The sequence below is a fragment of the Homo sapiens genome, chromosome 5 (genome assembly GCF_000001405.40).
Source record: "Homo sapiens chromosome 5, GRCh38.p14 Primary Assembly".
Lineage (NCBI taxonomy): Eukaryota > Metazoa > Chordata > Mammalia > Primates > Hominidae > Homo > Homo sapiens.
Window position 1 is genome coordinate 169,420,745 of NC_000005.10, and position 16,121 is coordinate 169,436,865.

The following is a 16,121-nucleotide window of genomic DNA, read 5'->3' on the forward strand; positions in this document are numbered from 1 at the left end:
TCCTTTTTAAAAGCAAAGGTTTATTTCTCATTTATGCAAAGTGTCCAGTGAGGGATGACGGGGAGTTTTCTTTGCCCCAAGTCTCCTCCCCTAGAGACCCAGGCACATAGAGCTTCCACCATCCAGAATGTCCCTGGTTGTCCTGGCAGGAGGGCAAAAACTAATTTTCACCTGGCCACGTAAGCTTCCATCTGAAAGTGACATATGTCAATTTCAATCAGTGGAATTTTAGTGACCAAAGCAAGTCACACAGGCTCTTCTAACTTCAAGGCAGTAGAGCAGTGTAATTTTACATTATGCCTAAAAGGAGGAGAAAGCAAGTTAGTAGTTCATATTAAGGAACTAACGGGAAGTTTATATGCTTCTTATGTCAAACCCTCAGGAAGTAGAAACTCAGAAAATTATTTATGTACAAACATGTATATTGAAGCACTGCATATACAAACAAAAAATAAAAACAGAAACTATCAGAACATCCAACAGTAGGTCCTAAAATATTTATTCTTAAATAAATCAGTCTAGCCATAGGATAGATAATTTTCTCGTGTTCTAAAGTGTTGCTTTTGAAGACTGTTTAATGATACAGGAAAATTCTCACAATACGTTTAAGTGAAGTAAAGAATAAAGAATTGCACTGTTTTATTAATATTAATATAAAAGTAAACTACCAAGAAAACAAAGGAAACATACTAAAATATTAATGATGGCTATCTCTACATTAATGTTATTGTTTTCTTTGTGCTTTTCTATATTTCTTTAGTTCTTTATGCAGATGAGTAAATTTTTAAATAATCAATTTAAGAAGATTATTTAACATAGAAATATATGGATGTTTATCACAGCAATTTTTTAATAGCAAAAATTGTAAACATCTAAAATCTACAGGAGGGAGTTGGTAAAAAATTATAGTTCAGTCAAATAATAGATATGATGAAGCATTTAAAAATTAAGATCTATTTGATCTGCTATGGAACATTTGCTAAGATATATTAAGTGAAAAAACATGGTGCAGAAAAGTGGGTATAGTATACTGCCATGTATTTAAACGTGTATGCATACACACATTTTTGAAGAGAATGCACAAATACTGCTAAAAGTGGTGCCTTTGGGTGGGGAAAACTAAGAGACTGAAGAAATGACTCATAGCTGTCTGTGGAAGGATGACTTTCAATTTTAAGTCCTTTACATTATTTGATTTTTTTAACCCTGTGTGTGTATTATTTATCTTGAGTTCTATTTTAGAAAAAAATTATAAACAAATAAATAAATCAGATGCCGGCTCTGGCAGATATGTCATAACTGCTGGTTTCCTTCCCTGCCCTTTTCCTGTCTTTAGGCTATTTCACTCAATGCCTCAGCCCTAGGCTGGACCGTAGCTACAGTTTAACAAGGCTTAGGGATTGAAAATGAATTTCATTGATCTGTCTGCCATTCTGAACACAAATAACAAAGGGTCCCCCAAAGCTGTCTGACTCAGGTATAGGGAATACCAGTCATCTTTTCACCTGGGCTACAGGCAGCTGACACTTTTCCCATGGACCCATGAGCTAAAAACACAAAGGCCTCCACACGGCTGAGAGTCAACATCTCCTGCAAATAGCTGACATTGTGAGCCCATGCCTTTGTGTCTGCTCAGAACCATTTAATTCTTGGGAGTTGCTTATATTCATAGATATTGAACTGGACCAATCACTGTGGATAACTTCAGGGTCAAACTTTCTGAAGAAAGAGCGGCACCAATACTGATACAGGAAATCCAGCTCCCAGCTCCCTGGAGCAAGGCATTAGAGAATGGCTTCTTGTAGTTCCATGTCCCAGGACAAATCTGGTGACAGGACAGTCAAGAGTAGAAGAGATTTTGCACCTTAACTTTGTTCTGAAATTAGGCTCTGTAGTTCCCTCCTTCCCATCTCCACTGGGAATGGGCTGTGATAAGTGTTACTTATTCATGCAGCAAATCCCTGGTCCAGGCACTGGGGATACAATAGTAAAGAGATCCAAGTAGGAAACAACTCTGCTTACAAATTATAAATAAAATTTAAATATATAGGATGACACAAGTGCTATGGAGAAAAATTAAGCAGGGATGTGGACAGAAGGTGCAGAAAGAGGCCTCACTCCAAAGCTGAAGCTCTGGTAAAAATCCGAGGGCAGCAGAGAGGGCCTGTGTGGATATGGGGGATGCGTGTTTTGGGAGAAGTGGCTGAGTTTTACCCCTAGTTTGGCAGAAGGTAGAAGTAGTCAGCCAGTGGAGGAGCAGAAATAATGTTTCAATATTTCTGCAATAAAATGTTTTAAAATTTTAAAAGATCTGAATAGTTATGAGAAATAATATAAATGTTCAGCAGCAGTTATATCATGGTATAAGCATGAAGTAGACTATAATCTAGTCACTAACAACCCTGGATTTGCAAGAATATTCAACAAGGTAGGATAATACACTCAAAGTAAAACGTTGAGTGGGAAAGGCAGAATGCAAAATTATCATCACATTTGTCATGCTCACTGTAGTAACCTAGTGTGGCACCCAGAACAGTGGTTGGTACATAGTGGATATGCAATCAATAGTGATAAATAGCTGTTGATTAAGTTAATTGCTGAGCATAAGCATGGTGGAAAAATAACTTGAAGAAAATGCATCAAATTATCAACAGTGGTTGGCCCGCAGTGATGGAATTCTTGATAATTTTCATTGGTGTATTTTAAAGCTTCCCAGATGATTCCAATATGAAGCCAGGGTTGGAAATGACTGTCTCACGCATGTCCGATTTTATTATCTGAGGTATATATTTAAATCCTCCATGCATAGATAAGGAACTGAAGTTCAAAGAGGTGAGGGTCAGCTTGCCCAAGGCCATAAGGTAGGCAGTGAGATAGCAGGTGATCTAGCCCCAAACCTTATGGAACTCACTTAGCCTGTTATTTTTACTTGAAACAGCTGATACCCAAGGAAAGCTCTGGGAGGACTTCCCCAAGGTACAGACTGGTCACTGGTGAATCAGCACTGAACCTGAAGTTCCTGCACACTGTTTGGGATTCTTTTCAGACACCTCGTGCTGTTGAGACAGGGAGAGCAGATGCCAAAAAAACACTCACAACTCTGACAGGGAGTTTCACCTCTGACCAAGCTCAGTCAGAATTCCAGGTTTGGCTCCATCTAGTCCCACCTTAGTGAGAATGCAGAGGCTTCCCTCTCATGCCAGAAGCTGGCCTCTAAGAGTGCAGTGTCCACCCTTCTCTTCAGGATACATGAGAATCCTGGAAGCCCATTAAACAAGGGTTGTCTGCATGGGGTGCTTGAATGGAGGCCAGGCAACATCTTAAGCACAAGTATTACTTGATTATGGGGACTATCTGGCTGATGATTGGTCATTCTCACTGGGTGACAGTGACAAAGATAAATGTGTGCTACCTTGGCTGCTATTTAACTCTGGTAATGAGTAGTTTCTGCTGTGCTGGAAGCTCCTAGTTCATCATTCTCTAACTGTGGGGTCTCCCTCGTTTTTCCTCAACCCAACCGCCTTTAGTCTTAAGGTAGGAAAACTGATCTAAAGGTATCCGCTAGAAACTTCCTTCCATCTCACCTTTTGGAAACATATAGTATGGATTTGTGTGGCCTTTGCTTCTTGTTTCTGCAGTGGGTGACTCAGGCCTTGTGACAGAAACAAGGAGGAGGATGGAGGAGCCTTCAGAGTTATACTCCTCTTGTCTTATTGACTCAAATGTAAAGAGGAAACCAAGATGACTGGCAAAGCAATACCTCCCTGTGACAAAGGCAACAGACCAAGAACCTCAAGGTAGTTTTTAGAATGCTTCTTTTTACCCCTGGGTGATATATGTGAAAGAAAACTGAGTATTATCAATATTATTGCAACTATTATCTACCGTAGTCTATTACAATAAAGCTTAAAATAAATCTGTCCAGAAGCCTGCCCCTCCAACAATTGATTTCCTTTTCAGGCAAGCCAAAGAATTCCCTTGGAAGGATAAAACTACCAGGCAGTCTGAGCTGGATGGAACACGCTGGTGCAAATGCAAAAGGTCACCGTTGGACTTGGCCAAGCTAGTAAATGTCAATAAGCTGGAGCTCCTTGCAACTTCAGCTTCTGCATGTCGGGCAGTGCACCTCACCATCAGGCCTAGGCCCCCACCTCTGCAGCCCACGCTGACCCAGCTTGTCCCACTGAGAGACCCCTTCTGAATTGCTCACATGGCAACCTATCCATCCAGAGTTCTCAACATAACAAAAGCTCTGGCCAGGCCTTTTTGCAAGCTAGCCTTTTTCTGCATATAACCATTTACAGATTTGAGTCTTTCCCTCCTTGATACAAAGAAAAACAATAACAGAGAGGCTCATGAAATTGCAAAATCATGGAACACAATTCTCTGTACCCTTTCTACAGGCACACCCTCTCAGCTCCATGAAGGAGCCCAATTCTTCATTGTTCCCAGGGCTTTTTGCCAAGAAGTGAACTTTAAAGAAATAAGATCATAAAGATCCACATATCAACAAGTCCATAGAAGCCCCTGGGAATCTCATTGGAATGGGAGGCCTAACATATCCTAGACATTAACTTCCCCAGGCCCACTGCATTGGCTCAAGCCAGTTGAGAACTTGGCTTTCTACTAAAATATATGCCTTCCTGGGAAAGGTTCTGTTCCTGGTTCGGTATCAGCATCTCTGGGAATCTGTACTGTGTATGCAGATTGTCTGCATTCAAATCCAGGTTCCAGCACTTATGAATTAGGGGAAGTCAGGAATGTTCACCTAACTTCCTTGGCCCTCAGTTTCTCCATCAGTAAAATGGAAGATAGTAATATCTATCTTATAGGGTGTTGTAGGTAAATGTACTTATTCTATTCCTTAAAAGTAGGATCTGATCAGGAACTGTACTTAGGCAGAACAGGATCCTTCTGGGGAAAAGCAATGAAGAAGAAGGTAGAAAAGGATACATTAAAAAAAAAGAAAAGCTGCGGATACTGAAATTGAAAGGCCATCTTCAAATGGTGCCCCTGGGATCAGCTGCCGACAAGTGCACAGGCCCAGGTAGTGATAAGGACACAGGTACCAGTGGAGGATAGAGCACTGGCAAGGTGCCAGGGAAAGCATGAGTGGCCTAAACAATGCTCTGCAGCTTTAAGGGGTTCAATGTACATTAACATTATGAACATAATGAATGCTGCTATTAAAAATTTGGAAGAATGCAAATAAAAGTTTTGTAAATCAATACTTCTACTATCCACTGATCATTTTGATGTATTTCATTCCAGTCTTTTCTGCCATGCATAACTTATAATATTCATTTTGTCCCACTTTATATCCAATTTTAACCATATTGGAGTCATATTTTAAACTAGTTTTTCCCACTTAATACAGCTTGAGCACTTTTCCCTCATTAAAGATGGCTTCTAAGTGCTATATTATATTTCATCATATGGATTCATTTATCCAATTCACTGTAAACATTTAGGCTGTTTCTAATTTTTTATTATTGCAAATCGTACAGCATTGAGCATCTATGTACATAAATCTTTATGTGCACATCTGATAACTTCCTCAGGATAAATTCCTAGAAGTGGAATTACTGGATCAAGAGTTATACTCATTTTGAAGGACCTTGATATATATTGCCCTGTTTCTTACTATGAATGTGCACACACAGGTATGGTACAGTCATAATTCAAACACCCTTTCTTCCTACCTCTATTTTCTTGCCTTGGTTAAATCCTTCTCATACTTCCATACTCAGCCTGCCTTACCCTATCTTTCCAGACTCGTTTATGTGTCCCTTTGTCTATACTCCTGCAGCTCTTGCCCTTCCCTCTTACGTTGCATTTAGCATGCTATGTTGCACTTGCTGACTTACATATACGTCTACCTGGTTGGACTAGAAACACCATAAGGGTAGAATAATCTCTATAGTCCTGGCACCTGGTGCAAAATGGATGCTAAGTCCATTTGTGTTGCTATAAAGGAATACCCAAGGCTAGTTAATTTATAAAGACAAGAGACTTACTTGGCTGACAGTTCTGCAGGTATGGCACCAGCGTCTGCTTCTGATGAAAGCTTCTGGCTGCTTCCACTCATAGCAGAAGGAGAAGGGGAACCATTATGTGCAGAGACCGCAGAGATCACATGGCGAAAGAAGAAGCAAGAGGGTGGGGGAGGTGCCAGGATCTTTTTAACAAACAGCTGTCATGGGAGCTAATAGGGTGAGAACTCACTCCCATGAGAATGGCACCAAGTTATTCATGAGGGATCCGCCCCCATTAACCAAACACCTCCCACTAGGCCCCACCTCCCAACATCGCCACCCTGGGGATCAGATTTCAACATGAGGTTCGGAGATGTCAAACATCCAAACTATAGCAGATGCTCAATGGATTGTTGGAGTAAGTGCAAAGCAAGCATGTGTGTGGGCTGGCACCAGGTAGGAGTGCATATAGTACACAGCTCTGCTTGTGTGAATCGCCTCCGTCATAACCACTCTGGGTAATGTGCTCTGGGGCAATGCTGTCTGTCCTTCCAATGACCTCTGAGCCACTGAGAATGCTGGTCCAGGAATAAATATTATTTCATCTCTCACAGAAGGCTGACCTACCTGCAAGATTGAGGAAAATAACCTAAAGTCTAGTTTAGCAGAAGCCAAGACTCTTAACAATCTTGACTCCTGATCAGAGATGCCAGGAGAAAAGGGCCCTGAATGGCCCACAGCAGGCCATTAATGAGATCACAGATTCTTAACGTGGAAAGGAAACTAAGAGACTACCTTGGATTACAGCTTAGTATACCAAGACCTAGAGAACTACAGATAGTAATAATTATACCATAGTGGTGGTGTAAGAACTTAAAAAACAAAGAATTTTAAGTCCCTGTAAATATCTGATATGTAATATTTGCTCAACCAATGGGATTCATTCATTCATTCATTCAATTGTCTGTTTAGCTAATATTTACTGAGTGTCTCTTATGTGCCATGGTCCAACAGCTAACATGTGATAGTGCTCACATCTGGTGTAACCTGTTCTGGGAAATGATAAAAAGACAACTGAGATGAAATGGAGCAATATCCTTTTGATGATTGTGGAGTCTGTGTTTTCTCATTAATGGAGGATGCTTCCCTGCTCCAAGCTGAAAAGCTAGCCATTCATTACATTCTACCAGCTGCCACCTACAGCTGGCACAGAAATGTGAGGGGGGCAGCTTGCTGTCCCAGAAAGAGCAGGCACCCCTGAGTCATGCAGACCTGGATCTGAATCTTAGGTCAATCAGTTAGTACTTCTGTGACTGCGGGAAAGTCACTTTGCCTCTCTGGGTCATGGTTTCCTCATCTGTAGCATGGGGCTATTTGGCATAGATTTGTGGAAAGCAGGCCAGGCGCAGTGGCTCAAGCTTGTAATTCCAGCATTTTGGGAGGCCAAGGTGGGTGAATCACCTGAGGTCAGGAGTTCCAGAGCAGCCTAACCAAAATGGTGAAACCCCATCTCTACTAAAAATACAAAAAATTAGCTGGGCATGGTGGCACATGCCTGTAATCTTAGCTACTTGGGAGGCTGAGGCAGGAGAATCACTTGAACCTGGGAGGTGGAGGTTGCAGTGAACTGAGATCATGCCATTGCACTGAACCCTGGGCAACAAGAGCGAAATTCCATCTCAAAAAAAAAAAAAGACTTGTGGAAAGAAGAATAATTGCTCCCTAAATATGTCTACACCCTAATCCCCAGAACTTGTGAATATGTTATCTCACATGGCAAAAGGGATGTTGCAGCTGTGTTAGCACTTTGAGGTGAAGATATTATCTTGCGTCACATCCAGGAGGGCCAATCTAGTTATATGAACCTTAAGAGCTGAGAACATTTCCCAGCTGTAGTCCTAGAATGTGGCCATGAAAGCAATTGCAGAGAGACAGCAGCATGAGGAGGACTTGACCCACTGTGGCTGGCTTTGAAGATCAAGGGGCCACAAGACTAGGAATTCAGTCTGTCTCTAGAAGCTGTAAAAGAGAAGGAAATTAGTTCTCCCCTAGAGTCTCCAGTGCATCCCTGCTGATAACCTTGATTTTAGCCCAGTGAGACCTGTGTTGGACTCCTGACCTAAAGATAAATTTGTGTTGTTTTAAGCCACTGAGTTAGTGGTAATTTGTTACAGCAGCAATAGAAGACTCATACAACTTTATAAGATTGTTATAAGTTTCAAAAGAGAATATGTGCTTGTCACCTAGGAGGCCTGCTACACATCTTTATTTATGGTCCTCTATGGTTATCCAGGCCCTCAGTGAGCTTATGACAGGCTTTGCCTGCCTGCTTCATGACTACTCTGCCCAGAACAAAGCCTTCATGAAGGAGAGCAGGAAATAATTATTGAAGAGAAATGCTGTTTGTATTCAAATGTCTCAGAATAAGAGAAGCAAAGGAACAGATAAACAAGAGTCTCTTAATCACAGACGATGAATGTGTGCTTGGCCTCTGCTCTCTGCCTTCCATTTCTCACCATGTCACTGAATCAGCAGTAGCAGCTGGCACAAGCTTCTCTCCCTGTGGCCAACAAAGGGCCTGGCTCACAGCCCCAGCCTCCACCTTTCCCTCCGAGACACACATCTTCTCCCCTCACCCAACCAGAGATGGCCTCTGTAATGGCTTTCTTAAGCTTCAGCACATACATGGGCCAATCACCTAGCCCTGGGTTCAGGTTTTGGTGCTGTCATTACTTGGTTATGTGACCTTGGGCAATCATTGCACCTCTTTCTGTCCTGAATTTCCCTCTTGAGAATTAAGGGTAACTCCTTTGTATGGTTGGTCAGAGCATGAAAACAGATAAATTTGCTGCCTGCTTAATATAGTGCCTGTCATATAGATGGTGCCAGTAAATGGATTCATTTACCCAAGAATATAAAAGGAGTACTAAACAAATAGTATGTGTATACACAAGCAAGAAATATATATTACATAAAATATATCTATATTGTTATATATAAATATCATAAATAGAAAATATGGAGATATATATATATATATATATATATATATATATATATATATATGAAATGAGACATAAAATCTAGGGCTTATATTTAAATTTTTCACAGTCCAATGGGGACAAGATGGGTAAAACAGGCAATTATAAGATAATGTAGTGAGTGCTCAGACAGGAGAAACTACCAGTATTATGGCTTCCGAGAGGAAAGGCAAGTAAATCCAGTTCAAGTGAAGTTTGGGTGAAGTCACTTCTAAACTGAATCTTTCAGGATTAACAGGGATTGAGTGGGTGAAAGACAGAAGAAGTAAATAGTATATGCAGAGGAAACAGCAAGTACAAAGCCCTAAGTCTAGGGAGAATACTAGAAAGAAATCAAGAAACGAACATAATTTAATATTGCAGTGTTGATAGAGAAGAAAGAATAAAATAGGTACCCATTGATGTAATTGTTAGGTATGGGTATGACTATTATTATTAGATGTGTCAGACAAAACACATCTTTACAATATGCATAGTATAATTTCCTCCTTTATCCACCAAAGAAAATTCTGGTTGCCACTCAACCCTGTCCCTTGCCTTTGCTTCCTGAGACTTAATAGTAAGATTGAGGTAATCAGTGAAGCAGAGACACGCTGAAAGAGGAAGGGTAATTCACCAGAAGGATAAGAACCTAAGGGGAGAGAAAGATCAGTGGTAAGGGGCAAAAGTAGTCCAGCTCTTGCATTTTTTTAAGAAGTTATATGGGTGGGCATGGTGGCTAATACCTATAATCCCAGTGCTTTGGGAGGCTGAGGCAGGAGGATAGCCTGAGCCCAGGAGTTCAAGACCAGTCTGGGCAACATAGCGAGACTCTGTCTCCAAAAGAATTTTGTTTTTTAATTGGCCAGGCATACTTCCTTGTGCCTGTAGTCCCAGCTACTTGGGAGGCTGAGGTTGGAGGATCATTTGAGCCCAGGAGTTCATTGCTGTAGCAAGCTATGATCTTGCCACTGTACCCCAGCCGGGGCCACAGCATGAGACTCTGTCTGTAAATAAATAATAAAAATTAAAATAAAATAAAATAAATAAAAAGTAAAAAGTTGTAGTAAAGATTCAAATTAGTTTCAACATTTCCAACTGTTCTTTGAATTTGATTCCATGCCAAGAGTGGACTTTGCAGAGGCTGGTTTTAAATAGCTTTCACTTCTATAAATAAATCTGAACCTTCTCTAGCCATACAATTTTATTAATTGTTCCTTTAGAGATAGGTTAGAGAAATACCTATCTCTAACCCTTTACTGATGTAGTGTGCCCTACCTGGAATGTTTTCCCTACTTACATAAATCCCTCCCATTCTTTAAGGCCTAGTTCAGGCTCCCCATGGGCTCTGTGAAACCTGCCTCTTTGATGAATCTAATGCATTTGTCTCTGTATCATGGACTTAGTACTTATCTTCCAAAAATCTTCATAAGATCAAAGGAAAACATAGAGGAAAATGCATCACCCATTAAGACTACTAAAAAAACAATTATTTACAACCATCCCTTCCAATCCTTTACTGTAGATATATCTAGATGATCAGTAATATCATAATCGCAGTAGAAATTTTGATTTCATCTCCTAACCTTCTGCGTTACAATGTTAGTGACTTTTTATGTCTATGTCTAGAGTGCATATCCCTCTATGTTTTTGGCTTTTACATCGCATAGGGCCTTATAAGGTTATAATCTTAAATCCTTAGTAAAAAGCAATAACTCAAATGGAGATAATGCCCAATAAATGTTCAGTGCTCCCTTGAGTAGTTTTTTCTTTTCTTTCAAATCTCCCCAGAAACTTTACAAAGGTCACTGACTCAATCACCTCTAGGAGCCAAGCATATTTTAGAAATGAATCAAACAGTAAGGCGATATGGACAGATTCAGTAATGTGCTGGAATGATTGTTCATCGCTTGCAAGAGCTGGTCATTATCAGGTCATTATTAGCTGGTCATTGTCAAGAACTTTGTGAGCAGTTTAAACAAACCTTTTATTAACTTACCATTAAATAAATTACATTATAAATAAATTATATATATTAAATAAATTATAAATAAATTACATTAAAAACAAAGATAATAAATACTCAAAAGTCATCACTTTCTAATTATTTTACTAAATGTTGCTCTGAAGGTCATTTGTGTCTATTGTATCTGTATAATGGAAATGCTGTAGGATGCTATATAATCCTTCATGTGTCTTCCCAGTTCCTCATTCAGGGATGTCACTTTGGTAGATTAAAGCTGGCTATGGTGGGAGTACACACATTATGGAAACTGGTAAATGCCACGAATCAGGGTGTGGTTTATAGTTTTGTTGATTCTCTAGGCTCAAGAGAGTGATGAAGAAAATGTCATGAATGAAGATAAAACTTAAAATTGTCTTATGTGTACAGTTGTTACATTCCAAACAACACAAAAAAATTGAGAGATGTTCTTCTAGCATTCAGAAACCATCATGTGATTCAGCATAGAAGTTATGTCACTGAAGAACAAGTGAAGTTCTTCGATGCTGGATACAAGACAGGATGCCCAGTTAAATCTGAATTTCAAATAACCAATATTTTTAGTATAAGTATATCCCAAATATTGTTCAGAGCACACTCATACTAAAAATTTAGTTGTTGTTCTCTGCAATTCAAACGTGGAGTTTCCTTTATATTTATTTGCTAAATCTGGCAATCCTAGACATATATCTTTATTGTTTCATTTTCATCTTATTTGTTAACATAAGCAAAAGCATCAGCAGTCATAGTGGAACTATGCTTGTTCATCAGTTGTAACCAAAGATCATCTGTGGATATAAAAGTTTGATAGCAATCATCAAAATAATTCCATAAGAATCAACTGACTATATGAGATTTGCAATAAAGAGTATTTTATATGGTATCATTTATAAATTTCTTGCAACATATCATTTATATCAGTAAAATGTATAATAAACTTACATGTGTATGCATATGTGTATATATACACACTTTTTCATTTTTGGAGAGTTGGTCATTAAATATTTATCGGCAAACCACTGGAGACAGTGAGAGAGTGGTACACCACCCCTTCAGAATGCATACAAATTCACTTTTCTAAACACTGTTCTTCCAAATCAAACTTTCTCACCTATTGCCTTCCAACTGTTCTTTTGCTGTATCAGACCTAGGACAGGTCAAAGTCAGGGCCCCATTAAGTAATAATGACCAAGCTCACACTGTTGAGAAATCAATCATCTCCAAAGTATCTGAGCACAAACAACTGAAATAAGTTTTCTCTCTGCTTAAAGGCTAAGTTTAAAAATAATAAAGGGAGGAAGAGGATAATTCCTCCCTAACCCCCTACCCACCCCCTTTGTGAGCCTAATTCCATCATCTGAACTATTAAACATTCACTCCCATCTCCACCCAATTACCCACCCAAGCTGAGAGGCATCTCTGGGTGCCACCAGGCTCTGACATATGGGACTCATAACCATGAGCAGATAGCATCCGCATTCTTGCCAGAGTAGTGCTACATCTTGGAAAGACTGATGCAGTTGCAAGACTGCCCAGTTATGCTTCTGCTACTATTCTTTCTGACTATGACTAAAGGCCACATGGACCGTGATTAGGGCAGCCATGGGGCCCAAGAGGTCCACGGAATGCAAGAGCTCTTCTCAATTACGGTTAAATGCACGAAGAGCAGGAAGCACATCAGTGAGGCACACCTTTAGGTCGTCCCATCCCCAGAGAGACAGATTGGCAAGGGCAGAAAGGAAGACAGGCTGGGCCTCCAATCCAGATGCCTGGAAAGAGCCAGGGGCTCCAGACAGGCTGGGTTTCCACATTCCAGGGCTTAGCTCCACTCCCACTTGATTCTCATGCCATACACTTGCTTTGTGTTAGCAACAAGAAAGAATCCACAAACTTTTGAGCAATGCACACTCTGTTGCTTATTTTATGCTCGCTCTCTCTGTCTTTCTCTCCCCTCCCCTCTCTGTCTTCAGAATGAGCAAAGACACAATAGAAAAACACATAAGAACAGAATCTCAAGTTTTAAGTAGGGAAAAGAAATTAGTAGAAGCTTGACCCTAAATGTAGGACATTAAACTTCTTATTTGGGTGTAATTATAATATTGCACATAGTATTAAACACTCCCATGGATATATTCCCAACTCTAAATCTCTATCCTAGGCCAGCATTTCCCAAAGTGTGTTCAGATAGCTGTTTATGCATATTTTACAGAAAAATGGAGGGACAGTTCCACAGTCAAATACGTTTGGAATATTTCCTGTTAAATTTTTAATTAGATGTGTTTGCCGCAGGACTTCTCAGAGACTTCGATATGCAGATGAGCTTTGGGAATCTATTCACTGGAGGGAAGCTCACCAAGTTTCCTAAATTTATTTCAGTGCAGAATCCCTCTTTCATGGAGTATCTTGTAGAACTAGTGTTCTAAAGAAGAGATTTATAAAATGCTACTTAGGCTCTAACTATTTTCAATAGCTTTCCATTAATCAGTGATCAATTTACCATTCAGATCTCCATGACTTTATTCACCTACTCTCTTCTCTCATCTTCAACTATCAAATGATTTGTCTTTCTTCGAGATCCTTTAGGTGTTCTCAAAGCCCCCATCATAATTCTCTTCTCTTCTTTCTTTGCTTCCACAAGACTTTCTCTGTGCCAATGCCACCATCATCACCATAAGCTTTGGGAAGGCAGCAGAGCTTGGCGGGGTAGGGGGTGGAGGTGGCCTGGACAAGAAGCCAGCGATTTGGAGTCAAAGGCCAGCCCCACGTGACCTTGGTCATGCTACTTTACCTTCTAGAGGCTCAGTTTCCTCTTATCTAAAATGGAATACATAATATTTTTGTCACAGATCCATTGTGAAGAACTCATGAAAGGGTTTCATGAAAGTACTCTGCTATCATAAAGTGAAACTGAAAAATTATCATTTGCCTCATTTTTCCTAAATTTGTTTTATCATAAGAATCACCTGGGGCACTTACTAAAAAGAGAGATGTCTCTGAGGAATCTGTTTCCATGACTGGGACCTAGAATTTGTAATTTTAACAAGCTTGCCAGGTTGTTAAATCAGAAGAATTTAGAAGGCACTGAATTATCTGAAAGAAATTAGAAATAAATGGTGATTCTGATAGCAAAAGCTACAGACAAGTGGGAGATAGTTGACGGGGGGGGTGGGAGGAAGGAAGTAAAGCCACACACTACAGGTCTCCTTTTACTGATTACACCGGGTAGGTGTGTGTATATCCCTTCATCGGCTAGAGCTTGGTTGGATATTTGAACTTTGTGCAGTAATTCTGGGAGTACACACTTCCGATACTATATTGTGAAGTACCCCACTGGTCAGGATTTCTCTAAAGTGGTCCTGATGACTTCTTCATTTGAATCTTGAGTCTCAAAAGAAATAAATTATAACCTTTGGATCATCATAGAGATCTTCATTCAAGAAATCAATTTCACTGCATTTCTAATTAAGGATTTGCTGAGCCCAAGAAAAGGAACATATCTATGCACCTCCTGGTGCCACATAAGGCATTTATAACTCTGTATATAATTGTTGAGGTCTTTATGAATGACCAAAAGAGAAAAAATGACCCATCTCTGAAATAATCTCTTTGTTTGTATGTATTCTTTATGCTTTCTCCATCTAAGAGCTGGGATTACTTTGGGAATTTATGTCTTCAACAGAGGAGCAAAGAAATAAAAATGATATTTGCTTTATTAAAAATAGAATCAACACCCCAAACATAAACTCATTATTTATAGAAAATCCCCTTTTTGTCAAACCACCAGCAGAGCCGCTACTGCAGCTGATTTTTTTAAAAAGTTCAAATAAAAGCTGGGAAAATCTTGTAGCCATTAGACCATAATCGGTATGAATCACCAATTTGTTTTTCATGACTTTTTCTGCATTCCTTCTATATTTTGCAGTTTATTTTGTTCAATGTTTTCAGCAACAGCTTTGCCAAACCCCAGAATCGAGAAGTCATCCAAGCAGGGAGTGCGTGTGTCCCACTCTACAAGCTGCTTGCTCAAGTAACAAGGCATACGTTTGACTTATCTCCCTTCTCATTCTTTTCTGTCTGGTTACAGGGACAGGCAGAGAACAATCCAACCTAAACACTGATAGGTAAGGCCTTAAAGAGTTGAGGATGCCCAAGAAAATTCCGAGCATTAGGACCCTTTCTTTTCCAACTACTCAACGTGCATCTTACAGAGACTGAGGCCTTTAAGAAAAAAACAAAACCAAAAAAATGCAGTTGTGACCAGTTGGCAGCAGCCCCACTATGGCTTAGTTAGTGCAATAAATAGTTTACTTTAACTTAGCTCCAGCCTACTGAGTCTCTCTCTTCTACTCCTATACACAAACAGTCTACTTTTTATTTACAAATATTACACATCTGCATGTGAAACCACACTCTCTCTTGTTAAATAGATATTTATTTCTCTTTCTCCTAACATGGGGAACTAGTTTTGAAGTAAGTTAATCCTTTCACTGCACTAAATATACTGGTATTTCTGGATCTATCCTAGTGGTGGCAGTAGGATGAGTATCAAGTTTATTCATTCAACCATCCATTCATTAATCCATTTATTCATTTATTTATTGTGTAAATATTATTAAGTGCCTATTCTGTGAGGCACAGGCATTGGGTTAAGTAATGGCAATTAAATACATGAAGTCCCTGCCTTGGTGAAACTGTATGGTCTAATGGGAGAAACAAACATTAAGTGAATGATTATATATATATATATATATATATATATATATATATATATATATATATATATGTTAAATTTTAATTCTAATAAGAGATGCAAGGAGAATTAAAGGGAGCTATGAAAGTTCATAAAAAGGGAACTAAAGACCATGTATTATATGATTCCATTTATTAAAAATGTCCAGAGTAGGCAAATCTGAACAAACAGAAAAATAGATTGATGCTTGCTTAGCACTGAGGAGAGAGACTGGAGGGGTTGGGAATGATGGTTAAGGGGAGCAACAGTTCTTTTTGGGTTAATGAAAATATTCTAAAAGGGATTGTGGTGATGGATAGATAACTCTGTGAATATACTCAAAGCCATTGAATCTCCTTTTCTCTATGCAACACTACCTTCTTTGGTGCTGGATT

At 39.4% G+C, this 16,121-nt stretch overlaps 1 long non-coding RNA gene across 1 annotated transcript; it reads right to left on the reverse strand.

The window, feature by feature from the left end:
* Positions 1-6,158, reverse strand: LOC124901131 (uncharacterized). The gene is made up of 2 exons (XR_007059043.1): positions 6,018-6,158; positions 1-300 (listed from the first exon to the last, which is right to left on the reverse strand). It is a non-coding gene; the product is annotated as an uncharacterized LOC124901131 (long non-coding RNA).
* Positions 6,159-16,121: the final 9,963 nt, after the last annotated feature.